This window comes from Homo sapiens, chromosome 2 (genome assembly GCF_000001405.40).
Source record: "Homo sapiens chromosome 2, GRCh38.p14 Primary Assembly".
Lineage (NCBI taxonomy): Eukaryota > Metazoa > Chordata > Mammalia > Primates > Hominidae > Homo > Homo sapiens.
The window spans coordinates 119,703,070-119,728,936 of record NC_000002.12 but is presented as its reverse complement, the minus strand read 5'-3'; the positions used below and the strand labels follow the sequence as shown (position 1 = coordinate 119,728,936).

Here is a 25,867-nt window from a genome sequence, read left to right as displayed (position 1 = left end):
CTGCCTCAGCCTCCCAAGTAGCTGGGACTACAGGTGCATACCACCACACCTGGCTAATTTTTATTTTTTTCTTTGTACAGACAAAAAAGAAGAAAATTGGGTCTTGTTATGTTGCCCAGGCTGGTCTCCAACTCCTGGCCTCAAGTGATCCTCCCAGCTTGTCCTTCCAAAGTGTTGGGATTATAGGTGTGAGCCACTGTGCCTGGCCATGTCTGAATGTTGAATGTTGACAGCTTCAGTGAATTGACCCCTCTTTCACCTATGGGACTTATGAAGAGAGAATCTTTCTGGCATTGCATAATCCTTCCCAAGAGTACTTTAGCTGTGGTAACCCTTCTTGTTATAAAACATGCCAGGTATGATGATGGAGATCAGCTGAGCTGGACTTAGAATCTTCTCTAAGAACATTTACAGGCACTCAGTGTTAACAGCAGGGCAGATGTAGGTTTCTGGGAACCTGAGGCTTATAGGAACTGGAGTTCATTGTAAGAAAAAGAATATCAAATTATGAAGACAAAATTAGGCATCAATGTGAATATTAATTTAGGAGAAATCACAACAAATCGCACATCCTGAAAAGCTAACAAATACTGCATACATCGCAGAATCTAGAAGCATAACAATATTTGTATTGGTTAACTTGGACATATCACTATAGTATGCTTTTTTTCTACATTTTGGGCTATATTTTTTTCCTATTCTTTTTGGTTGATGTCCTTGTAGTAGTGGCTACATGTTAGTAGGCACTAACCCTAGTAGTAACTAATCCTAGTAGTAGGGTTCATGTTATTGTTGTCGATGTCTGTATTTTGTGATCAAATCACCAAGACTGCAAATCCTTCTTTCAACATATTCATATGATTCACTCCCCTTCATTAAATTGGGTTATTCAAACAATTATGCTCCAAATTTATCTCTTCCTCTTAATCAAGTACTACTTTGGCATGATCTGATTTTTATAATTATTCTCTCTTCTCATCTTTATTATTTATATTTTCTTAGCTATTATGATTCTTCTTCTCAATTTCATGCTTTTGTCTATCAGGCTTTTTAGCTTCTGTTGTGATAGAACAAAAGAGTTTTTGACATTTTGTAACTTCTTCCAGTCTTTTATCTTTCAGTTTTTGTCTGAGACTTCTACTAGGATGTTTTCTTCTCAACACGCTTGATTTTTGTATAGTTAATAATTTTGAAATAAAGGCATTCTCAAGAGCAGTTCAAATGCACTTGAAAATTGCTGAAATGTATTGAGTTGCATATTGCATAATCAAATTACTTTTTTGCCACATAGACTGATCTATTGGTGAGTATGTGTAGGGGTTTCATTACCCTGGAGTCCTTTTTCTTTGCTTTTTTTCCCCTTTCTTTCCATTTCTGTGGCAATTTGGTGAACAGTTTCATCAGGAAGTGTGAGACTTCATAAGGGCAAGAGGATCAGATAGATACTCTAAGGGTGATCCGTTCAGTTTGCACAATAAATCTGTGGAAGACATCATATGTACAGTGGAATCTTCTTTCTTTGCAGAGAAAAGTGGACAAGCATCCAATTTCCAAATCAATTCTTGGGATAAATTGGTATAACTTGTTGGAAAGCAGTTTGTCAATATGTATTGCAAGCCCTAAAAATATTTATGTCCCCCTCAAATACATGCATATTCCTATAGTTTGAGTAATTTAATTTACATATATTAATTTTAAGAAAATGCTCCTGAAAATGAAAAAGGTATTAGGCACAAAGATGGTGTTAACAATATATTCCTTAAAACATTTTTAGTTTGTTTTTTTTTTGAGACAGTCTTGCTCTGTCGCCCAGGCTGGAGTGCAGTGATGCGATCTCAGCTCACTGCAACCTCCACCTCCAAGGTTCAAGCAATTCTCCTGCCTCAGCCTCCCGAGTAGCTGGGATTATAGGCACCACCATGCCCGGCTAATTTTTTTGTATTTTTAGTAGAGACGGAGTTTCACCATGTTGGCCAGGCTGGTTTCGAACTCCTGACCTCAAGTGATCTGCTCATGTTGGCCTCCCAAAGTGCTAGGATTACGGGTGAGCCACCGCACCCGACCTCTTAAAACATTTTTGGAATAAGTTGCTCCAACAATAAATGATTGGTTATTTAAATTGGGAACATCAACTTGATGGATATTATTACTATTGAAGTTTATAGAAGGTTTGATATATGGTACAAAATGACTCTTACATAACATTAAGCAAAACAAAAGCAAAATACAGTATTGTATATACATTTTGATCTCAGCTAAATACTAAATCGCATGCTCAGAAAAAATCCTGGAATATACATGATTTTAAAATGTACACTCTCTATATAAGTATACTATATATATCATAAACACCCTCCCATGTCGACAAATATAGATCGTGACATAATTTTTAATAGTTGCATAGTATTTCACTATACGCATGAACAAAAATTTTTCTGATCGTCTAAGACATTCAGACAGCTTCAAATGTTTTTCTGTTTTAAGTATACTGCAATGAACCATCTTGCACATTAATCTTTAGCCAGTTTTCCAATTATTTCCTCAGGATAAATTCCTAGAAGTGGAATTGCTGGGTCAAAAGCATTTTTAGGGCTTTTGAAACCTATCGCTAAATGACCTTCCAGAGAGACTATAAATTTACGCTCCCACCATCAGCATGAGTGCATGGCCTGTCTCTGGTGCCTTTGCCAACACTGGCTCTTCAATGTGCTTTAAAACGAAGAAAATAACTTAAGAAAATATGCCTGCAGTAGATTTGAAACTTATTAAATATATTCAAGTCTTTATTACACAATCCTGGCTTGCTATAAAAACGTTGCTAGGAGTTAACATCTATTGCGGAGTTACCATGTCCCAGGCAATGTGTGACATGAGTTAATTCTCATAGTGCTGCAGATAACTCTGTGAGGTAGGGGCCATCATCCATCCATTTCATATGTGAGGAAATGAGACGCAGGGGTGTTAAAGGTAACAAAGTCCAAGGTAATGAGGGGCTGAACTAAGATTTCAACCCAGGCCACAGCCTACACCATACTGTACAGCATCTCAGTCCCTGCTGAGATGTTCCTAAGCATGCAGTGAACCTTTCAGCTCAGGATTCTCCACGGCACTGCAAATCCCTCTAGTCCATATTCGAGGATGAGTCTTACTTTAGGCAGGGGCCCCAGAGACAACCATTTAGAAGATTCCGAGAATCTGCCTACTAGCATGAGGTAGGCTGCCTGTGCAGGACCTGCCAGGAAGGTGTAAACCTGGCCTGCCAGCTCTAGCCCACTGGTCACTTGGGCCGAAGAGTCATGAGAAAAGGGTTATTTGGGAGAGAGCTGAGTGTCATGATGTGCCCGCCGCCCTTGGGTCAGGTGACTGTTTCCTGCTGGTTTGCCTGGGACTCTCCCGGCTTTAGCAATGGAAGTCTTGCATCCCGGGAAACCCCTTAGTCCCAGGCAAACTGGGTCAGGTGAGCACCATATTTCTGGGGGAAGATTCTGGCACTTCCTTCCTACCTCAAGACAGGTGTGAGGGGCTTTGAGGGGCTCTGGAGCCATGGGCCTGGGGACAGAGCTAACACCCATGCATCAGACACCCAGAGGACCCATGCCAGATCACACTGCTGTGCTCAACTCCCTCCCTTCTCCCTCTGGGCCTAGCCTCAGATGGTCTGAAACCCAGCTAGTGAGAATGGGGGCTGGAAGTAGAGCCAGGAGAGAGAAGAGACTAGCAACACAGACCCCCGACTCCTCCTCAGGCCGCTTCTAAGCCTGGAGCAAGCCTCAGATTGTGGGAGGAGACTGAACTTAACAAAATTTAAAGTTTGATGTTACACTGTCTTGGACATTTTAAGTCACTGAAATGAGACTTGAAAGGGCCGAGAAGCACTGTGGGAGCTGCCAGGGACGTCCCCCGGGGATGGGGAGGAATGATGACAGAGGGCAGGGGAAGGCTGAAGCTGCTTATGAGCCAGCACTGCCAAGGGCGACCCTCTCAACAACCAGGCTGCTTGGAGTGGCCACTGTGGGCCCCACCAGGGCCTTGCCGCCTCCTCCCAGACAGGGGTGGAACCACAGCTGCTGCCACTTCTACTGCCTAAGGCGCAGGGATGGGGGGTAAGAACCCAGGGTCCCCTCACTGCCCCCTGCCCATCAGGCTATGGCAAGAGCCTTTCCTCACCCCAGATGCTGCCTCCTCAAATGGAGCATCCCAGCTCTCCAAACCACCAGAGCCCGTCCTTCTCCTCCCAAGCAACCACAATAATAAATGATAGCCTGTTGACACATGCGAGACACGGAAATAGGTTCTTAACAGACATTGTCTTCTTTTGTCCTTATAATTTACCAGTGAGGTATTGTTGCCATCCTCATTTTTCAGAGGATCAGAGAGGTTAAGGAACTTGCCCAGCTATTAAGTAGTGGAGTGGAAACCTGTTCTGTCTCCACCCAAAGCGCATGTCCAGTTCACAATTCTGCACGGCTTCCTAGCTCTTACCTAGCCTAACCTCCCAGCTCCCCACCAGGCGCCTGGGAGGGACATCTTTGCACTGGGACCTTGGTGGGATAGCTGCGTTTCCACTATTCCTACTTGAAACCTGGAATGTGTTTTTTCATGGAGACAATATGATGAAGGGTTCCTTCGACTCCACGGTGGTTACTTATTGGTTAAGTCGCCCTTTGTGACCTGGCCTGGGGTTCTGACCACACTCGATCATGTGATTTCCCAGGAAGAAAACACATCCTGGGTTCTAAATAGCAAATTCCAAACACACTGTTAGGACACAGCTTATTTGTGAGTTAGGGAATGTCTGCCTGTAAATGATTTTAATTTGAGTGACAAGAAAAATAAACTGGGCTCTTTCATTATGCTATTTGGGTTGTTGGTTTACATAGAAGTGAGGCTGCCCCGCACTTTGTCCTTCTACAAGGGCGTCATCTGTTTGAATTATTCAATCTCTTCAAAGAGTTTGTGGCTAAGTGTACGGTACTGGAGAAGCATGTGGTTTAGTGAGTGAATTAAAAGTCAGGAGATGTGGGTCTAGCCCTCCCCTTGCCCTTAACCAGCTGTGTGACTTTGGGTGAGTCACTGTACCTCTCAGGGCATCTGCTTCTCAATCTGTACAATGAGGTGACTCTCGAGAATCCCCAAGTTCCCTCCCAGACCTCAGATCCCATGAAGAACAAAGAGCCTCAGGTGCAGAACTGCGAAGGAGAGGTCTGCTCAGAAATCATGTTTCTTTCTTTTGCTTCCCTTTGTAATTTTTCAAGAAAAATTCTTTAGTAATGGTGTTCTTGGGCTATAGCAGATGAAAAAAAGAGAAAGTCAGGTTCTTTGGGGTTAAATGGAGCATTTAATGACAGTTAAGCAAAAAGATGTGTGCTGGGCCTTTTTCTCACGTTGGATGTTTGGCTAATTGATCAGCAGATCCTGGCACCCAAGTGACAACCTGCATTGAAAAGGCGGAACTTGGCTCTCCTGCCCTGCCAGCTGTAAGAGCTTGAAAGCAAAGCTATGGGGGGAATGTCTTTCATTTCCCCCTGGAAGCTGGGAGGACGTTCAGCTTAGCATTGCCAACTGTGTAATGTGGACTTGCCTCTAAAAGAAGCCTTTTTCCTTGGATGTCTTTCAGGCCGCAGTATTCCCTTTGGCACCCCCACCCACCTGGAACAAAGCCTGATGTAAAGTCTGGGTGCGACTCAGACCGGCCTGGGAAAGAATTTATTTAATAAATGGTGGAAAGTGGCTTCCTTGACGTGTCTTCGATGGCTTTTTTATAAAGCATTTGGTTTGTCTACTCGTCTGTTTTTGCGCCATCTCTTTCCACAAAGATGGCTTATAGCAGGGATACTTACAACAAAATGATGCTGGGAAAACAAAAACAAAGAAGTAGAGAATTAGGCCTGAGAAAACTAGGAGTAGAGAGTCACGATTAGATACAGAGGAGCATAGATGTGTAGTCTAGGAAGGCCAACTAATTGTTATAGCTGAAATTCAAATTCAGTTAGCTAAAATGTTCCTAGTGTCAAAGGAAGAATGGGCCACACAGTTGCATAATCCTTAGTATTAGGGAGAAGGAAAAGGTTCCAGTTATTCAGAGGGATGTTCTCTTGCCTTATTCCTTTAATAAGTATCTGTTAAAGGCCCACCATGTGCCAAGCACCATGCCCGGCAAGCACTGCACTCACCCCCCAGGAACTCAGTGTCTAAAGGAGACTGGGTGAAAGAACTATATTTGTGTGCCTATGATGTGTCAAATACTATGCATTTAGTTATGCAGTTACTGTATGTTAGACACTATGCATTTAATTATTTACCTGCTGTATATCAGACACCATGCATTTTCATTTAACCCTCATAAGCACTTACATCAAGTAGACACTGTTACCTCTTTTTTACAGATGAGAAAACAGAGTCTCTTCCCGCAGCTGGTAAGTATTGAACTTAGGATTCAAATCAAGGCCATTCTCTCTTATATATGGTGCTAGACTGTTGGTGGTCTTTCTAACTTCCATTATTTATTTTCCCTTCCCTTTCTTTTCTTCTTTTCCTTTTCCTTTTTTTTTTTTAGAAACAGGATCTTGCTCTGTTGCCCAGGCTGGAGTGCTGTGGTACGATCATAGCTCACTACAGCCTTTACCTCCTGTTTTCAAGTGATATGTCCACGTATCCCCTCCTAGGTAACTGGGACTACTGGTGTGTGCCACTATACTGGCTTATTTTTTCTAACTTTTTGTAGAAATGGGGTCTTGCTATGTCGCCCAGGCTGGTCTCAATTCCTGGCCTGAAACAATCCTCCCAACGTGGCCTCCCAAAGTGTTGGGATTACAGGCTTGAGCCACCACAGCTGGCCCCCAGTTCCCTTTCTAACAGAACGTCAGCTTTGTTTAATTATTTACCACTCCTCAAAATAGCTAACATGGGCCAAGGGTCAATGACCCCATTTCTAGGTTCTTGTGGGCAGGATGGGAAGATTGATTAGCCAATCACAATAATCCCCTGTGCTTGGTTTAAGAATCTGGGCTTAAACCAATCATTATGTGACATTCTCCTGGTGATTGTCTTAGGTCTAGGATGACATAAGCGGGCACAATAAGACTGAAGGAATGGTCATCAATTCCATATTTTGGGGAAAGGCTCTTCTATCTCTCTTGCTGGAAATAGACTAGTAGGTATGTTGCTGCTGGCAGCCCTTCTGTGACTCTGGACGAGGCTGACTCTTCTGATACCAACTGTTCTGACACCAACTGGTGTACTGTAATATGATTCCCCAGATGCAAATACAAATACCCGGCGTTAGTGGAGACTCCACACGTTAAAGGGCACGGTCCCCTACAAGACTGTTTCACTTCAAATGCCAACCACAAGGTGGGGTCTCAGACCACCAGCATTTCTGACCAGCTGGCTACAAATCTGGGTGTTCCCACAATCCCTCTCAGGTTCAATAATTTACTAGAATGACTCACAGAACTCAGGAAAGCCTACATTATGATTATAGTTTTATAATAAAGAATATCAATCAAGAGCATAGGACAAGACCTAAGAGCTTCTAGAATGCAGAGCTTCTGGGCTCTCTCCCCATGGAATTGGGCCATATCACTCTCCCAGTGCATCAGTGTGTTCATTAACCAGGAGATCCACTGAGCTTCAACATCCAGAGTTTTTATCAGAGTGCCATTCCATTGGCATGACTGAACATTGGCCATGTGGTGGAACTCAATCTCCAGCTGTCCTTCCCTCCTTGGAGGCAGGGCTGGTTCAAAACCCCAACCCTCTAATTACGTGGTTGGTCTTTCTGGTGACCAGTCTTAATCCTGAGCCATCTCAGCATAAACTCAGGTGTAATCCATGGAGCTCATGAATAACAAAAACACTCCTATCCCCTGGGAAATTCTAAAGATTTTAAGAAGCTCTGGGCCAGGAACCTGAGACAGGACCAGACAAATTCTTTATTATACAACCCTGACCTTCAGACAAACCTGAAGGTTATGGAGAAAATACTGATAGAACAGAAGGGAGACAAAGCCAGAGCCCATACTACTCTGCATTCTCTGAAATATGAGCTAGTACTTTCCTCATTATTTAAGCCAGTTTGAATTGGGTTTCTGCACTTGTAGATAATTGATCTTACATTGACTATTATACTTTGAACTGCAAGAAACAGAAAACCCAACAAAAAATAACTTAAACAATAAGAACTATTATTTCACAAAATGAAAATCTGGAGGTAAAATAGTTCCAGAGTTTTCACTTTTTCACTCAGGGTTGGGACAAGGCTGGCACGAAATTTCAGGCGTCCAAAAAAATTCAGTCAGCAAGATAAATAATATTTATGACAATATTTTAAAAATGAAAATTAATGCAAAAAGTTGACTGGGAATAGGCTGGGCATGGTGGCTCATGCCTGTAATCCCAGCACTTTGGGAGGCCGAGGTGGGCGGATCATCTGAGGTCAGGAGTTCAAGACCAGCCTGACCAACATGGAGAAACCCTGTCTCAAAAATACAAAATTAGCTGGGCGTGGTGGCACATGTCTGTAATCCCAGCTACTAGGGAGGCTGAGGCAGGAGAATCACTTGAACCTGGGAGGCAGAGGTTGCGGTGAGCCGAGATTGCGCCATTGTACTCCAGCCTGGGTAACAAGAGGGAAACTCCGTCTCAAAAAAAAAAAAAGTTGGGAATAAAATATCAAAATTTTAAGTAAAGACAATCAGCATTACTGATTTTCTTTTTTTGCACTGGGCTTCAGTATCACTCAGCATGGCACTGTTAGTAACCCTGTGTTTATTTAAAATTTTGATATTTTTAAAAATTTTGGATATTTGCATTATTTTATTTTTAAAACTGTTAATTCTAGGCTGGGCACGGTGGTTCATACCTATAATCCTAGCACTTTGGGAGGCTGTGGTGGGAGGATTGCTTGAGGTCAGGAGTTTGAGACTGGCCTGGGCATCATAGGGAAACCCCCATCTTTACAAAAAAGATAAAAAATTAGCCAGGTGTGGTAGTGCACACCTATAGTCCCAGCTATTTGGGAGGCCAAGGTGGGAAGATTTCTGGAGCCCTGGAGTTCGAATCTGCAGTGAGCTATGATTGCACCACTGTACACCAGCCTGGGTGACAGAGTGAGATACTGTCTCTAATATATATATAGAAAATCTTGACTACTGAGATTGAGATTTTGGGCACCCCTCAAACTTTGTGCCCTAGGTGAGTGCCTCCCTGACCTGGGCCCATTCCCACTCCATTTCACCTTCCCATCCTCAGATGTTGACTGGAGACCTCAGCTGTTTCCCTTCATGATTGTAAGCTGACTGCCACTATTCTGGGAACAACAACCTCAAACAAAAACCAAAGAGTGTTTTGTTCTGTGCATCTTTTCATCAACAAGGAAAACTTTCCCAAAAGCTCCCAGCAGACTTTCCTCACTAGCCAGAATTGCACCTCATGCCATGTCTAAACCAGTCACTGACGAGGCCGGGGCAGCACCCACGCTTGGCTTACAGCAATCACACTCTGAGCCTGGGGAGGATGTGGCTTTCCTTGAGCCCCTGGCCTTGGGGAGGTTGGACAGCTGATCAAGTTCAAGACTTTACCCCAAAGAACACATACTATGTAAAGTTTAGAAAGAAGCCACACATCTCACTTCTCAGCCTTTTGGCTAAGATTAAGTGCAAAAACAAGCCATACTAGTCTATGGCATAGAGCTCAGGAGTGTTGTCACCTTAGGGGAGGTGGATGAGGGTAGTGATTGGAAAGGGGCAGGAGGGCAGCTTCTGGGATACAAGGAATGTTCTCTGTTTCTTAATCTGAGTCATGGGTACTTGGGTGTGTTGACCATTAAGCTGTGGGCATGATTCGTGAACTTTTCTGTAGGTATATTTGAGGCTCAAAGTGTGGTCCACGGCCCAGCAGCATTAACATCACCCAGGAGCTTGTTAGAAATGCAGAACCGAGGTCCCAGCACCTACTGAATCAGAAGCTGCACTTTAACAACATTGCCAGGCAATACACTCACACGTTAAAGTTCGAGAAACACAATACTATACTTCAATTTTAAAAAACTGCTTTCATAGGAAACATCGGGGCTTTCCCAGCAATGAAGGTGGGGAGACTGGGTTTGGGTAGAGCAGGAACAGTGCTGACTCGAAAGCCTGTTACAGGGTTTATGAAGTAGCTACTCACCAATCCCTACTCAGTGGCAGCTGTTTCTGCCGCTCTTCCTCTCTTCAACTGTTCTTCACTTTCTCTCCTTTCAACAATTTGTTTTTCATAAAACAGGGGCTCAGGCAGCACCTGGGGGCTCAAAACACACTGGATGCGGACCTAGTCACGTGGTAAGGACAGCCACATGAAGTAAGAGTGAGATGGCGATTTCCTCTGAAATATGAGCCTCATTCCTTTGAAAGTAGCAAATAATTATCCAGAGGCGTTGGGAAAATAGTAAGAAAATCTTACCTCTATTGAGAAAGAGTGAATGCCAAAGGCCTCCCTTCACCTGCTCCATTGCCTGAAACCAAGCACTCGCCCACCTCAGCTGGAGACATTAGATTGAAAACAAACCCCCAGTCCCCATTTAAAGAGGTCAGCCCTGGGCAGTGAGGATGGGATGTTCACGGAGGTGGGGTGTGTGGTGCTCCTTAGTGGGGGAAATGACTTAAAATATACATGAGCGTAATGGTGATTTCAGCCTGACACAGCTTGGTAAGGAACAGTGGTTCTGCAAGAATCCTTTGTATATGGTTTGCCAGAAGGAACATAAACTGAGATTCTAAACTCTAGAAACACAGGCATTTTAGGAACTGTCCGCTTTATTCCTTTTGCTCTGATTTAAGATAAAAATTCTGCTTCTGATTCCTGCCTGCAATTTCAGCTTACTCAGACCCCTATTTGTGCCCCCACTCCCTTGGTGCTGAAGACCCCCTAGGGAGAGCAGAACGAACCAGCTCGGAGAAGGGACCGGGAAGCAGGAGCCGGGAAGAGGTATCAGCTAATACGTATCAGGCACATCCTCCTTTTAAAGACTCAAGTTGGCCAGGTGCGGTGGCTCATGCCTATAATCCCAGCACTTTGGGAGGCCGAGACAGGTGGATCACCTTAGGTCAGGAGTTCGAGACCAGGCTGGGCAACATGGCAAAACTCCATCTCTACTAAAAATACAACAACAACAACAAAATTAGCTGGGTATGGTGGCGCACGCCTGTAATCTCAGCTACTCGGGAGGCTGAGGCAGGAGAATTGCTTGAACCCGGGAGGTGGAGGTTGCAGTGAGCCAAGATTGCGCCACTGCACTCCAGCCTGGGTGACAGAGCAAGACTCTGTCTCAAAAAAAAAAAAAAAAAAAAAGACTCAAGTCAATGGCAAAGTCAGCCATGGGGGAACTGAGAGAGGTTCCAAGAAGCTGTGGCCTAGTAATCAGACAAAAGGTGTATCCACCACCCAGGGGCCCACAGAAAAGCTCCTGGGTAACCCACATCTACACTCATAACTATGGGCAGGGCCAGCTTCCTGGGGGTGCACCCAGTGCAGGCATATGGGGCCCCACACTCACAAGAGCCCTGCCACTGTCTCAGACTTTCTTTCCTTTCCTTTTCTTTTTTTTCTTTTTCTTTTTTTTTTTTCCAGATGGAGTCATACTCTGTTGCCCAGGCTGGAGGGCAGTGGTGCAATCTTGGCTCACTGTAACCTCTGCCTCCCGAGTTCAAGCGATCCTCCCACTTAATTAGTTTACACAAGGGGCCCTGCATTTTCATTTTGTACTGGGCTCCCCAAATTATGTAGCTGGTCCTGAATGCTAGAATGGCCAGCAAGGGGAGATGTCTTTTGCCTCTGCCCCACCCCTGAGGCCCATGGTGTCCCATGAAGAATCGGATCTTGGCAAAAGCCTGTCCCTTTTGTATTAACCATAAAGAGAAACTGACGGAAAAAAGAAGAGAAAAAGGGGTGGGGGGAGAGAGGTGAAGGAAGAAGTAAACATGTTCATCATCTCTCGATTTATGTTTTTACGTTCAAAACTCCCTTCACTACTTCCACCTCTGTTTAGCACTACTATGCCTTACGCACTTGAAGATCTACAAAATTTTTAAACTTTGAAGGAAAATGTACTTACGAGAAAGTGATAGGAATCATACCCATTGAGTAGACATAGGAATTGAGGTCTTAGAAAAGGGCTTTTCAGAAGGAGACTAGAAGAGAGAGACCCCCAAATAATTGCATTTCCCTCTTCTGCTTCTGAATATTGGATCTATATTCTGGATCTGACTAATTGCCTGAGACTCTTGAATTTCCCTGGAAAGTCTTCAGTCCTTTCCTCCTTCCAAGGTTCTCCCTTCCTTTGAAGGAGCATGTGGAGCTCCAAGTCAACACAAATTGTTCCCCTGTGGGTCCCTTACACCCATTTCTCCCCTGGCTGGGACTCGAGCATTGCAAACACGAGCTCTTGGGCATATTGCTGAGAGAGGATCCTGGCGTGGCAAGTGCAGCCAGCTGGTCTCGTACCCACATCTTTTCAGTAAATTTCTCTCAAGCATATGTACACACACAAATACGCCTTCTGTTGAAGGCAATGAAATAATCTTTCACTGCAGAGGCTGGAGAAAATGTGCAGAACCATGAAATGAAAGCAGTGCTTTCGGGTCTGGGGATGGTTTTTCATGGAGTAGAGACCCTGTTGTCACTATTGCTGAGCACTCGCAGGCCACGTGGAAGTCTGGTGGGACACACTAGTCTCCAGTGCGGGCTCCTGGGAGAGGCATCCCTGTCCAGCCTGGCTAAGGAGGCTCCACAGTCAGCCCTGTCGCAGGACCTGTCTTCCTTTCTTGGCGGCACAGATCACTCTCGGATATCACTTTATGGATCTGCTCGTGTGTTGTCCAACTCCCCACCGGAATGCAAGCCGAACCATCTGTTCTGTTTCCTGCTGTTTCCCCAGTGGACTTAGATGCCCAGTCCACTCTGTCACATGCCTGGGTGTGGGTAAAGTGTGTCTTTGTTCTGGGCCCATGGGTCACTGCACTTGTGGGTTGGGCCACCCTCCCCTCTGACGCGGGGTTGCCTACCTGACCCAAGCTGCTGGCCCGTCTGCTTCTCCCTCTGGGGAATCCGACTTAACAACACAGGGACAGGCTTTGCCAGCCAGCGGTCACCCTGCAGGAGACATGGGGTGCACCAGGTCCTGGGGAGCTGAAACGACAAGAAAGCAGAGGAAGCTGATTGCTGCCAGGACTGGGGCAACAGCAAGGGAAGCCGAAGTTCCGCTGGTCCTTCTCAGGGCACCGTCCAGTGGGAGAGAAGCAATGAGCCCTTACAGCTCAGCACCATGGTGCTCTCACAGGGCCAGCTCTGGACTGCTGGGCACAGAAAAGCAAACTGCTCTTTCCCTCTGAGGGCAGCCTGGGAAGGCTTCCAGAGGCGGGGATCTTGAGTCGAAACTTGAAGAATGAGTGGGGGCATGCTGGGGGTGAGGAGATGAATGCAAATCCCGTTACTGCTGCTGTGCGAGATACTCTCCCTAAAAGAAATCTTCCGTCTGTCTCTGTCTCTCTCTCTCTTTTTCTCTCTGTCTTTGAGGCAGGGTCTTGCTCTGCTGTCCAGGCTGGAGTGCAGTGGTGAGAACATAGCTTATTGCAGCCTTGACCTCTTGGGCAAGCAATTCTCCCACCTCACCCTCCAGAGGAGCTAAGACTACATGTGCAAGCCACCATGCCTGTCTAATTTTTATTTTTTATTTTTTGTAGATGTAGGGTCTCACTTTGTTGCCCAGACTGGTCTTGAACACCTGGCCTCAAGTGATCCTCCTGCCTTGGCCTCCCAAAGTGTTGGGATTACAGGTGTGAGCCACCACACCTGGCCTTCCCAGTTTCTTTCTCTGTGAAAGAGTGATAAGAGCCTCCATGCTTTGGGCTTTTGGGGGTCATGACAATGGGAGCTCAAGTGCCTGGTTCCTAGCACTTGTAGCAGGTAGTTCTTATTCCAGGTGACAAGGTGGCATACACTTCCTGTCTGCTCTCTGCCCTTCATTCCCTCCCTATTGCCTTGTCTGGGTTCAAACCCTCTTCCTTGCCCAAGCTTGCATTGCAGCTGTTGCCTGTACCAATTTCACGATTAAGTCCCATGTGCCTCAGCCAGGGCTGTGGGGTCAGTGTGACCCCTGATCAGTAGCCCAGGCTGCCCCCTGGCCATTTTCTTGCCTTCATCACTAGGATCTAAGCAGCCCCCTGGGGCTTGCAGTGACCCCCAGCACAGCTGCTGTCATAGCCTGCCAACTCTGCCTGCCTCACCCTTTGCTGCTTCATAGCCAAGCCCTTAACCAGGCTGGGTCTGAGGAACAGAGTTGGGGCAGATCGAAGGAGTGGTCATTTGAGGGGCATCCCATGATAACATCTCCAGCAGCCAGATTCTGCTGCTTTGGGGAAGGCACCCATGCTTTGTCCCACCTTCTTTTTCTATATTTTTCTCAGGGCCACGGAGAAAGGATTCATGAGCTCATGTCTCGGAAATGCTTTGAAGATGAGAAACACTGAGCATTTTCCCAACAGCCCTCAATTTACTTTTTCAGCATTCTCTCTGGGTTGTCAAGTCTTTGTAGTTATTTTTATAAATAGCAATTGCCGGCTGCTTCCATTTTTACCCAGGAAAACTCCACCTCCAGCTGGAACTGGCTGCCATCCTACAGCAGATCGGCCATGGGGCTAGATCTGTCCCCATTTCTCTTGACCAACTCCTTTTGCACATCCCTCCCTTTGTTGCAGAGCCCACCTCACTGTCTCTTGTATGCCTCCAATGCCACCCTGTCTCCCTGTCACCAAGCCACTGATCTGTCCCAGTGACTCCTCTCTTCATACACAGCCCAAGTTCTCCAACATGGCACACAAGGCCCTCTGTGCCTTGGCCACCACTCATCTGTTCAGCCACATCCCTGGTCTCGTGCCACTTCTGGGCTCAGTCATCCTGAACTACCTGTTGTTCCCTGAAGCGGCAGGCCGGGTCATGGCTCCAGGCCAGGAGGGAAGACAGTCCATAGAAAATGGAGATGGAGCCTGGTGGTGGGTCTGCCCTGGTGTGGAGGGTAGAGCAGGCTCCTTGACTGATGCACAGTTATGTTTTGTTTTGCTTTTTGGAGACATGGCCTCACTCTGTCACCCAGGCTGGAGTGCACGGGCACAATCATGGCTCACTGCAGATCCAAGCTCCTGGGCTCAAGTGATCCTCTCACCTCTGCCTTTCAAGTAGCTGGGACTACAAGTGCCAGCCATCCCACTTGGCTAATTTTGTTTCAAGAGATGGGGTCTCTCAATGCTGCCCAGGCTAGTCTGGAACTACTGGCCTTGAGTGATCCTCCTGCCTCGGGCTCCCAAAGTGCTGAGATTATAAGCTTGAGCCATCATGCCAGGCCAGATGGTGCACAGTTTTTAAATGAAATATTTAAATCATATAAAAACTCATGGGGAATAATATAACGAATATAATACGATACAATGCATACAATGAACAACACAATGGCCTAATATATGACAAGTCACCTTTATTATCTATGGACCTCTTTTTACCCCTCCAGCTCTCCCCACCAATGAAAACCATTATCAGGCCAGGCACAGAGGCTCACACCTATGATCCCAGCACTTTGGGAGGCTGAGGCGGGCAGATCACCTGAGGTCGGGAGTTGGAGACCAGCCTGACCAACACGGAGAAACCTGTCTCTACTAAAAATACAAAATTAGTCAGGCTTGGTGGCACATGCCTGTAATCCCAGCTACTCAGGAGGCTGAGGCAGGAGAATCACTTGAACCCGGGAGGCAGAGGTTGCAGTGAGCCAAGATTGCGCCATTGCACTCCAGCCTGGGCAACAAGAGCAAAACTCCATCTCAAAAAAAAAAAAAGAAAACCATTATCATAAGTTTGGTGTCGAATATTTCTAGGCAAATCTTCATGCTTTATGTGTGTATGTACCTAAATAATATATAGCATTGTTTTGTGTGTTCTTAGACTATGTAAATGCTGACTTAATGTACATATCCTTATGAGATTTACCCCCTGCTCAACAAGCTAACTCTTGCTTTCTTGCTGATACCAATAATAATCTTTTTATTACAGTCTTAACAAGAGTCATGCCAGTCAGTGAGGTTCTAAGGATGGGAGTGGTGGGAGCAGTCCAGGCTGCAGGAAGGAACATTTTGTCACTGGCATTGTTTAGAATTGCTGGTGCATGCATGCTGGTAATAAAAAGCAGACCAACTTTCAGTGTCAGGCTGCCCTAACGAAGTACCATGGACTGGGTGGCTTAAGCGATAGACATTTCTTTCTCACAGCTGTGGAGGTTGGAAGTCGAAGGTCAAGGTGTTGGCAGGGCTGGTTTCTCCTGAGGCCCCTCTTCTTGGCTTGTGGATGCCCCCTTCTTGCCGTGCCTTCATGTGGCCTTTTCTCTGAGCCCATGCATCCCTGGTGTCTCTGTGTATCCAAATTTCCTCTTATAAGGACACCAGTCACACTGGATTAGCGTCCACTCAAATGACCTCATTTTAACTTAATCATCCTTAAAGGCCTTACCTCCAAATACGGCCCCATTTTGAGATACTGGGGGTTCAGGCTTCAACATAGGAATTAGAGGGGACACAAGGCAACCCATCACAATCACCAAGCCTCAGTGTCCATGGGGGTGAAATATACTCTGCTGCTGTTGGGCACCGCAGAGCCACGCGGCAGGAGAGAGTACAGAATTGACAGCAACAATCCACCTATCAAAGTGAGGTGCTATCTCCATTTTTATAGATAAAGAAACGGGCCCAAAGACCAGCCCCAGGCCATACCACATATCTAGGAAGCCGCATCAAGGGGTGCCTTAACGCCAACGCCTCAGACAAATCCAGGTCTCTTTGCTGCCCTGGAGCGTGGCTGCTCCACCTTTTTCTTGTTCTCAACCCCCAGGCTCTGGACCTGTCTCTGTCCTCAGGACCATGCACGTGGAAATTCTGCTGCCGGAGCTGCCAGCCCATAACTTTTGGGATAAACTCTCCCATCAGGTGTCCAGTGACAGCTGCCAGTGGGTGCCAGGCTAACAGGGTATTTGTGTTCCAGGTCATCTGGCGTAACTTGCTCCTTTCCCACCCCAGGACTGTCATCTCAGGGAGCCTGTTCTGGTGACTTCTGGAAAGGCCTGGACTCCTTTGTTCCATGGAGTCATCAGGTAACTACGAAGAGTCCTCAGTTTGCTTTTCCCCAGCGCCTTGTCGAGCTTCCTTGGGTGTCCCAGGTCTTGCTGTGTTCAGTGCGGCTTGGGTCATACTTGGTCTTCTTGGGCAATGACAAAGGTGGCTTTTAGTTAGGGAAGGAAGACAGCCTCAGAAGGGAGAAGCCTATCAGTATTTCAAGCCCCAGGCGATGTGAAAAACTGAGCCTTTGTTTGGGAGTGTCAGCCCCCAGGACTTGCGTGTTTCTGCCCTGAAGCGTTTTCTGCTTTCTGAAGGCTGCAGTTCTCTTCCTCGTTTTATTGACTGCCTACGTGCCAGGGGCTTTGTGAATATTACCGCACTGAAATTCCCAATACCCAGCAAGAAGGCATTATTATCCTTATTTTACAGATGAGAAAATAGAGATTAAACAACTTACTTAACTGTTTGAACTCCGTGGGGCACAAACATGAAATGATTCTATTTTTTCTCCAGATCTTTTTAGAGATTTATACCAAATCTCCTTTTCATAATTCCATAGCTTTTTGGTTGTTTTTAGGTATTAAAAAACCCCTATGGTCCAGTCCACTTTCTTTTCAAAGCCTCAAATCTTGAATCCGATATCATATCCACTGCCTGCGCTTCCCTCAGACCAGCCTGCCTCGAGCCAGGCACCTATCGTGAGGGTGGGGTGGTCGGTCTTCATCCCTCTCCTCCCTCTTTTGGTGCCTCTCTCTTCCTGTGCTTGGGGACTTGGGGAAGAGGAGGGAGTGCAATGGGGAAGATAATCTTTTCGCTTCACTGGGCATTTGATCGTAGCCTCTTCTTTGCAGGTTTTGTGGGTTCTCTACTGCTGTTCTCAAGATGGCAGGTGTTGGGCCGGGCGTGGTGGCTCACGCCTGTAACCCCAGCACTTTGGGAGGCGGAAGTGGGCAGATCATGAGGTCAGGAGATCGAGACCATCCTGGCTAATACAGTGAAACACCGTCTCTACTAAAAATACAAAAAAAAATAGCTGGGGGTGGTGGGGGCGCCTGTAGTCCCAGCTACTCAGGAGGCTGAGGCAGGAGAAAGGCGTGAACCCGGGAGGTGGAGCTTGCAGTGAGCCGAGATCGTGCCACTGCACTCCAGCCTGGGTGACACAGCAAGACTCTGTCTCAAAAAGAAAAAAAAAAAAAAGATGGCAGGTGTCCAAGTGCCATCTCCCAAGGGGGATGACTTTGGGTCCCTCCCTCAAGCCTCTCCCTCTGACAGCTGGAGTCCCTCTGTCTGGGGTGGGCTCCTGGGGGCAATGCCGGTAGACAGGCCAGGAAACCTGCTGCCCCACGAAACTCGCGGGTAGGGCTTGGGCATGTGAGCTGCTCCACTGCAGACTCCTCCATCCTGCCCCGTGGATGCTCAAATGTGCTTCTTACGGGCATCCATGATCTGGAATTCTCTTGCAGTGCCTCCCTTGACTGAGGAGGGGAAAGCCAAAATACTGCCCAATACACTGCTCCTATAAACTCCGGGGAATTTCCCCCTGGAATCTCATCTTCTGCTTACACAGTCTGAGGGGATGGCAAGGCTGGGGTGTGGTTGGGTCTAGCAGAGCTGAGTTGGGACATTCTAACCAGTTTATTTTTATTGGGGTGAAATCCACATCAAATAAAATTAATCACCTTAAACTCAAAATTCAGTGGCATTTAGTATCTCCACAATGTTGTGCAACCACCACTTCTATCTAGTTCCAAAACATTTTAATCACCCCCAAAGAAAACTCTGCACCCATTAACCAGTTACTCCCCATTTCCCCTTTCCCCAGTCCCCGGCGGCCACCAATCTGCTCTCCATCTCTATGGGTTTACAAGTGCGTACATTTTGACATCTTTCTTTTGGGTCTTCTTTCCCTAAGATTAGCTGGATGACTCTATCAACCATGACCAAAAACTCCTTTTTATTTATTTATTTGTTTATTTATTTGAGATGGAGTCTTGCTCAGTCGCCCAGACTGGAGCGCAGTGGCGCGATCTCGGTTCACTGCAAGCTCCACCTCCTGGGTTCATGCCATTCTCCTGCCTCAGCCTCCCAAGTAGCTGGGACTACAGGCGCCCACCACTACACCCGGCTAATTTTTTTGTATTTTAGTAGAGACGGGGTTTCACCATGTTAGCCAGCCAGGATGGTCTCAATCTCCTGACCTCGTGATCCGCCCATCTTGGCCTCCCAAAGAGCTAGGATTACAGGTGTAAGCCACTGTGCCCAGCCTAATATTTTTATTTCATTTTATTTTTTGTAGATATAGGATCTCACTATGTTGCCCAGGCTGGTCTTGGACTCCTGGGCTCAAGTGATCCTTCCCTCTTGGCCTCCCAAAGTGTTGGGATTACAGGCATGAGCCACCATGTCTGGCTCACCAAAGGCTTCTGATATCCCTAATGGACCAAATATTTCTTGAAAATTCAAAGGGATTGTAGTATGTGGTGGGATTTTTAGGCAGGAACCACCAATTATTAACTTTCAGTAACCATCTCTAAATGGCCACGACTGCACTGACCTCAGAGCCACAATCTGTCAGGCCACAGGCACTTAGTGAGGACCCTTGTCTGCATGTCATAACACAGTGGTGGGTGCCACAGAAAAATGGAAAGAGACGCGCATGGTACAGTGGAAAATCCACCCAAAGTGGATGCCTGTTCTGATGCCAACTTGCTGTGCATTCTTAGACAAATTACTTAGCTTCCCTGGGCCTCAGTTTTTTTATCCATAAGATGAGTGATGACATATTATTTATGCAAATTGTAAAACAATAAAAAAGAAAAATCAAGTCTCAGAATAGGTAACCTTTAAGTTTTCTTTGATGTTAAGGTCATTATGAGACTTAGTTCTTGCCTCTGTGGGGCATTACCTAGTATGAGGAAAACAAAACAAAGAAATGTAGAAAACAATAAGAGTCAATACCAAGCTGTGGCTCAGTGACTTGGAGTCTCTAGGGGTCCAGAGAAGGGAGGAGAGGGTGTGTGCCCTGTGAGAGAAGGGCTGTGGACCAAAACTGACAGGATAGTTTTTACAAAGAGTGATGTGAGAAGTGGGCATGAGCAGGGTGTGCCAGTGCGACTGTGTGTGTGTGTATGTGTGTGTGTGTGTGTGTGTGTGTGTGTGTCTGCGTGTGATTGTCTAGTGGGGAGGACTGCTTAAGATTAAAAGACGCTCAGGAGACATATCTACCAAATGCAATGTGTGAACCTTGTTTAAATCTTGATTTGAACAAAGCAACTGTAAAATAGACATCTTTGGAACAATCGGGGGAATTTGAATATGGATTGCATATTTGATGGCCATAAGGAAGTTTTGCTCATGTTGTTAGGTGTGTTAATTTGTGAACACGGGTGTGAACAACTAAATATGCCTGTTATGTAAGAAAATGTCCTTATTTTTCAGAGATACATGCTGAAATCATTTAGCAACATTATGATGCCTGAGATTTTTTTTTCCACAAAAATAAAAATAGATGAAACAAATGTGGCAGAATGGTAATCATTGTTAAAGCTAAGAGATGGGTGTTTGGGTATTTCTTGTATGGTTTGTATGAGTCAGGATCTAACCAGGAGACAAAGACCACTGGAGTCTTGAAAACAGAAGGACTTTGAGGCAGAGTATTGGTTATTGGTTACACAGTGGGTGGGAGACTGAGCAGCCAAACACACAACCCTGAGATTAGTGTCAGATGTGACAACCCTGGGCTGGGGGGCAAGGCCAGGAAAGTGCTGTCGCTGGAGAGCAGGGGCTGTAGCACAGGGGCAAAACAGAAACCACAGCAGGCCTTTTGGGAGAGGCGCCGGAGCCATGGCAGAACCGCAGCTGCAGCAGGGACACTACCCGAGGTAGACAGAGAGGGAAAACCTTGGCTTGTCCCATCCTCCCACCTCCCCATCTCCTGCTAGTGCTCCCCGTTGGCCAAGCCCCATCTCCAACCAAAATGGAGTCATCAGGGGCAGCTCCATGCAACACGGAGTGGAGGAGGGGAGGGGCGAGTGGCATGGATGTGAAGCCAGACAGGTCCAGGGCCTAAGCTCTGTTCTCTCTGTGCATTTTTGTTTGTTTGTCTCATCTCTACCCTGAAGCATAGTTTGCACATTAGCATCTCATCCCTTCAAGCTTGCCATGGAGGCCTCTTGCCACCTTCCAGAGAGCTCTGGACAGCAGGGCCCTTGGGGCAGAAGAGCCATTATTTCCATTTTACAGCAGCTGCTGGAAGCTCAGATAACACCTTTCTGGCAAAGAAACCAAGAACGTTTCTGTGTCAGCTTCGCCTGCTGACAAGGACCCAGAAAGAATCCACTGCTGTCATTGCAGAACCTTCAGCTTTGAGGAACCATGGAGATTTGGCCTAATTCTCCACAGTGGTCCCAGTGGTGACCTAACCCAAATCCGTTTCCTTGTCTTCCTGCCACCAGAACCTTGATTTTGTTCAGGCTGATAATGTGCCCAGCTAAACGAATTTGCTTCCCCAGTGCTCTTGGGGTTACTGATGATCACGTGATCAAGTTCTGGCCAATGAGGTGTAGATGGAAGTCCTCGGGGTGGGTGATCCTTCCAGAATAAAAAGGCAAGTCTCAGGCCGGGCGCAGTGGCTCATGCCTGTAATCCCAACACTTTGGGAGGCCAGTAGTTCGAGACCAGCCTGGCTAACATGGCGAAACCCTGTCTCTACTAAAAATACAAAAAATTAGCTGGGCGTTGTGGTGGGCGCCTGTGGTCCCAGCTACTCGGGAGGCTGAGGCAGGAGAATCGCTTGAACCTGGGACGCAGAGGTTGCAGTGAGCCGAGATCACACCACTGAACTCTGGCTTGAGTGACAGTGCGAGACTCCTTCTCAAAAATAAAATAAAATAAAATAAAATAAATAAATAAAATAAAAAGGCAAGTCTCTTTACTCTCCCACATCTTTCTGTGTGAAACATGGGTGCAATGCCTGGTGATGCAGCAGCAACCTTGTGACCATGAGGGCTAATGTTAGATGCTGGGAGAAGAAGAAGGCTGAGACAATGATGACATTTTTGAGCAGCTTCACCGGTCCTGGAGTGCCTAACCCTGGACCTCTTGTAAGGTAATTAAAATAAATCTCTTATTTAACCCACTGTTTCTTGGGTTTTGTGTTATTTGCAGGTAAATACATACCTGATTCAAAGCAAAAAATATGTTTTTTAGTCAACAAAAGAAAAAAAAAGGAAGCTAGCTTTTCAAGGAGGTAACATAAAAGAAGCAAAGTCAGTTACCAAGGAAGAGACTAGCAGCATTACCTCTGTGGCCCAGCGCTAGCCACTCAGCAAAGGAAATATATGCTGACAGATGGGTGAACAGATGTGAACAAGTGAGTGGCCATCTGAGCAGTGAATCTGGAAAGCGTGAAGACTCCTAGTGGTGAGGCCACCCCTTCCATTTCCCCACAGGAAACCAGCAACAAATACTGCCAGAATTCGGCCAGGCGCTGTGGCTCACGCCTGTAATCCCAGCACTTTGGAAGGCCGAGGCAGGCAGATCACCTGAGGTCAGGAGTTCAAGACCAGCCTGGCCAACGTGGCGAAACCCCGTGTCTACTAAAAAAACACAAAAAGTAGCCGGGCGTGGTGGCACGCAATTGTAATCCCAGCTACTTGGGAGTCTGAGACAGGAGAATTGCTTGAACCTGGGAGGCAGAGGTTGCACTGAGCAAGATTGCGCCACTGCACTCCAGCCTGGGTGACAGAGCGAGACTCTGCCTCAAAAAAATATATATATATATAAATATATATAATATATAATATATAATATATATATATAGAGAGAGAGAGCCAGAATTCCTGGCATTGTCACAATTACCAGGGGTTAAGGAATTATTTCCTGAATGTCATGGTAAAAATGCAAGTAGATAACATGGAAGGAAAATACATAAGTTTGTTCGTCACCCAACAGGACTCTAAGGTGATAGGTGTAGTGGACACACCCTAAAATGGCCCCCAATGAGTCACACCCTGTATAACCCCCACCGTCTATTCTTGAGTGTGGGAGGAAACTGGGACTTGCTTCTCATCAACAGAATATGGCCTGGCCAATGTGATGGACTGTCACTCCCTTGATTAAGTTACATTATATGGCAAAGGGGGTTTTATACACACACACACACACACACACACACACACACACACGGATCTGAGTGGGCTGAAGGGAGAGAGTAACTCGTATGTGCTGACTTTGTGGAAGTAAGCTGCCATGTTGTGAGAATGCCACATAACAAGGAACTATGGACAACCTCTAGAAGCTGAGAGGGGTTCCTGCTGACAGCCAGCAAGAAAATAGGGACTTCAGTCCTACAACCGTAAGGCGACAGATTCTGCCAACAATCTGAATGAGTCTGTAAGACTTGGGAGACCTTGAGGCTACTCAACAGCGTGTGCCCAGGCTCTGAGACCAGCCCCAGTCCAGCCTCCAGATGAGAATGCAGCCCAGCTGATCCTTTGATTGCAGCCTTGTGAGTCCCTGAGCCGAGGACCCAGCTAGGCTGTGCCCAGGAACTGTGAGATAATAAATGTGTGCTGGAATAAGCCACTAGGTTTGTGGAAACCTCATACACAGCAGTGGAATAGAGAATAAAGATGCTTTGGTACAAGAAGGCTTTGAAAAGTCAGCCTGGGACCTGGCCTGGGGAGGGGAGATCTGGGCAGAGCATTCATTTGTTCATTCATCCATTTGTCAGCTGCTTAAAAAGAGCCACTAATACGTGCCAGGAACTAGGTCACCAAATGAGGCTTTTGTCTCACACTCCTTTTTTCAGTTTTAGCCAGAGCCGCAACTTTCCCTTCCAGATGTGGTTGAAGGGACAGGAAGGGGAATTCAAATTATACTGAGTTCCCACAGGACCTGGGCACAGAACCAGATGCTTTCCATATGTTGACTCTATCAATCAACACAATGACTCATAAGGCATGGATTAATATAACCATTTTACAGATTTATAACACTGAGGTCACACAGTGGTAGAGCTGAGATTCTGAGAAATTAAGTCAGCTCCTCCCATTCTAAGCTGGGTTTTTGGCTTAGGGAAAAACCAGGTCATCTGAGCTCATGTGGCCTACTTTATTTTCTTATGTTTGCACAACGATGAAAATGTGTCCTACTTTATCAAGCTACCTTCCTCCTCCTCCTTTCCTCCCCTTCTTCTTTATCAGAAGCACATTCTTTTTTTTTTGAGACGGAGTCTGGAGTGCAGTGGCACAATCTTGGCTCACTGCAAACTCCACCTCCCAGGTTCAAGCGATTCTCCTGCCTCAGCCTCCCAAGTAGCTGGGATTACAGCCATGCGCTACCACGCCCAGCTAATTTTTGTATTTTTAGTACAGACGGGGTTTCACCATGTTGGCCAGGATGGTCTCAATCTCCTGACCTCGTGATCCACCCACCTCAGCCTCCCAAACTGCTGGGATTACAGGCGTGAGACAACATGCCTGGCCCAGAAGTACATTCTTAAGAGTTAAAATATTATGCATTAAAAAAATACAATCTGGTAGTAACTTATGGCAGCTTCTAAATGGAATAAATGTCTAGAGTACCTTCTTCACTTCCTTTGTCAGCATGTTCTTCCTCTTCCATGGAGACATTATTAGACCATGCTTTCAAATGCTTTCTAAATTTGAATCTGGTGTCAACACTCCTTTCGGCTGCATTCCACTGCATTGCTGTGAGGGTTTAGTGAAATAATACAGATAAAGTATCTGCCTTTTTTTAAATACAAAGTTCTGTATTTTTCTCTTTTCACTTACCATGTGCATTGGTCAGAGTCCTGGCAGGAATGGCATTCATACTGATGCTTCAGATGAAGGGCTATTTAGTAAAGGATGATTTACAGAGATGTGGACAAGTTTAAGGAAACCAACAAAGGATGTTGAGGCACCCAGCAGCTGGCAATAGCAGGAAGCTGTTACCACCCTTAGGATCAAGGGGAGGCTGCCCAGTGGAAGCTGCAGTCCTGGAGGCCCTGAGACAGGCAGAGAGTGGAGGAGACAGATCCCAGCCTCTCCTCCCAGCCTTCCATCTTCTGCTGGTGTCTCCTGTGGGCTGAATCCAGCTTGGAGCCAGAGGGGAAGGGAGTCGGGGTGATCCGGAGCATGGGACCAACCTCCTGGGGTGCGGGGCAGGGCAGAGCATGATTCTGGAAGAACGAATGGAGAAAAACATCCACATTATATGTGAGCACTATCCCATGTCATTAAATATCCCTGGACGCCAGGGTTTTTAACTGCTAAATGACATTTCATCATACGGTGGGACTACAAGTTATTATCAGTAGTAGTATGAAGGGACATTTGGAATGGCCCCTGCTCAATGAGTGTGATGGGCATCTTTGCCCATAATTATTTGTCAACATCTGCCATTTTACATGACTCAGTGGATGGGGCCTCTCCACAGGCCACAGGCTTGGAGAGTTCAGGCGAGAAACCCCAGAGGCCCAGCCTCGCTCCCAGCTGTCCCAAGAGGTCCCTGGAAACCATGATGTGCCATCAACTCCTACTTTCTTTGTCCAGTTACAAGTCAGGAGTAGCACCCAAAAGAACTGTTCTAGAGGAAAATGCAGGGCTGGGCCCAGGGCTGAGGGCTGAGGGATAAAAGTCTAACGGTGACAAAGGTGCCACTCCCTAGCAGGCTAGTAAAGCGAGGAGGCGCTCCTAGCTCTCTGGGCTTCCACCGGCCCTTCTCCCGGG

The 25,867-nt window shown here is 46.4% G+C and overlaps 1 protein-coding gene and 1 long non-coding RNA gene across 8 annotated transcripts in view, besides 4 other annotated features; one reads left to right on the top strand and one right to left on the bottom strand.

Moving 5' to 3' along the window:
- The window catches only part of LOC101927764 (uncharacterized), a 41,770-nt gene extending 30,778 nt beyond the window's left edge, over positions 1-10,992 (top strand). For 3 of the 7 annotated variants that reach the window (XR_001739668.2, XR_001739670.2, XR_001739676.2), the window contains one exon: positions 5,413-5,735. This is a non-coding gene — a long non-coding RNA (uncharacterized LOC101927764). Of the gene's footprint in view, positions 1-80; positions 6,417-10,266 lie in introns of those variants that run through there. The other 4 variants (XR_007087215.1, XR_001739677.3, XR_007087214.1 and 1 more) reach the window with 4 other exon arrangements.
- The window catches only part of TMEM177 (transmembrane protein 177), a 44,418-nt gene continuing 23,869 nt past the window's right edge, over positions 5,319-25,867 (bottom strand). The window contains exons 13-17 of the transcript NR_148341.2: positions 24,929-25,317; positions 24,719-24,844; positions 13,044-13,167; positions 10,171-10,281; positions 5,319-5,434 (exon numbers count right to left, since the gene is read on the bottom strand). The gene's annotated coding sequence lies outside the window, so the exon portion shown is untranslated. The remainder of the gene's footprint in view (positions 5,435-10,170; positions 10,282-13,043; positions 13,168-24,718; positions 24,845-24,928; positions 25,318-25,867) is intronic.
- Positions 12,625-13,124: an enhancer, noted in NCBI's record as "H3K4me1 hESC enhancer chr2:120473389-120473888 (GRCh37/hg19 assembly coordinates)". NCBI's record gives its function as "activates a minimal SCP1, AML or CMV promoter by ChIP-STARR-seq in primed H9 embryonic stem cells {active_cell/tissue: H9 hESC(primed)}" and the evidence as "EXISTENCE:reporter gene assay evidence [ECO:0000049][PMID:30033119]".
- Positions 13,125-13,626: an enhancer, noted in NCBI's record as "H3K4me1 hESC enhancer chr2:120472887-120473388 (GRCh37/hg19 assembly coordinates)". NCBI's record gives its function as "activates a minimal SCP1, AML or CMV promoter by ChIP-STARR-seq in naive H9 embryonic stem cells {active_cell/tissue: H9 hESC(naive)}" and the evidence as "EXISTENCE:reporter gene assay evidence [ECO:0000049][PMID:30033119]".
- Positions 13,242-13,490: a silencer, noted in NCBI's record as "fragment chr2:120473023-120473271 (GRCh37/hg19 assembly coordinates)". NCBI's record gives its function as "represses an EF-1alpha promoter that drives an FKBP-Casp9 reporter gene in an ReSE screen in HepG2 liver carcinoma cells {active_cell/tissue: HepG2}" and the evidence as "EXISTENCE:reporter gene assay evidence [ECO:0000049][PMID:32094911]".
- Positions 25,246-25,850: an enhancer, noted in NCBI's record as "H3K4me1 hESC enhancer chr2:120460663-120461267 (GRCh37/hg19 assembly coordinates)". NCBI's record gives its function as "activates a minimal SCP1, AML or CMV promoter by ChIP-STARR-seq in primed H9 embryonic stem cells {active_cell/tissue: H9 hESC(primed)}" and the evidence as "EXISTENCE:reporter gene assay evidence [ECO:0000049][PMID:30033119]".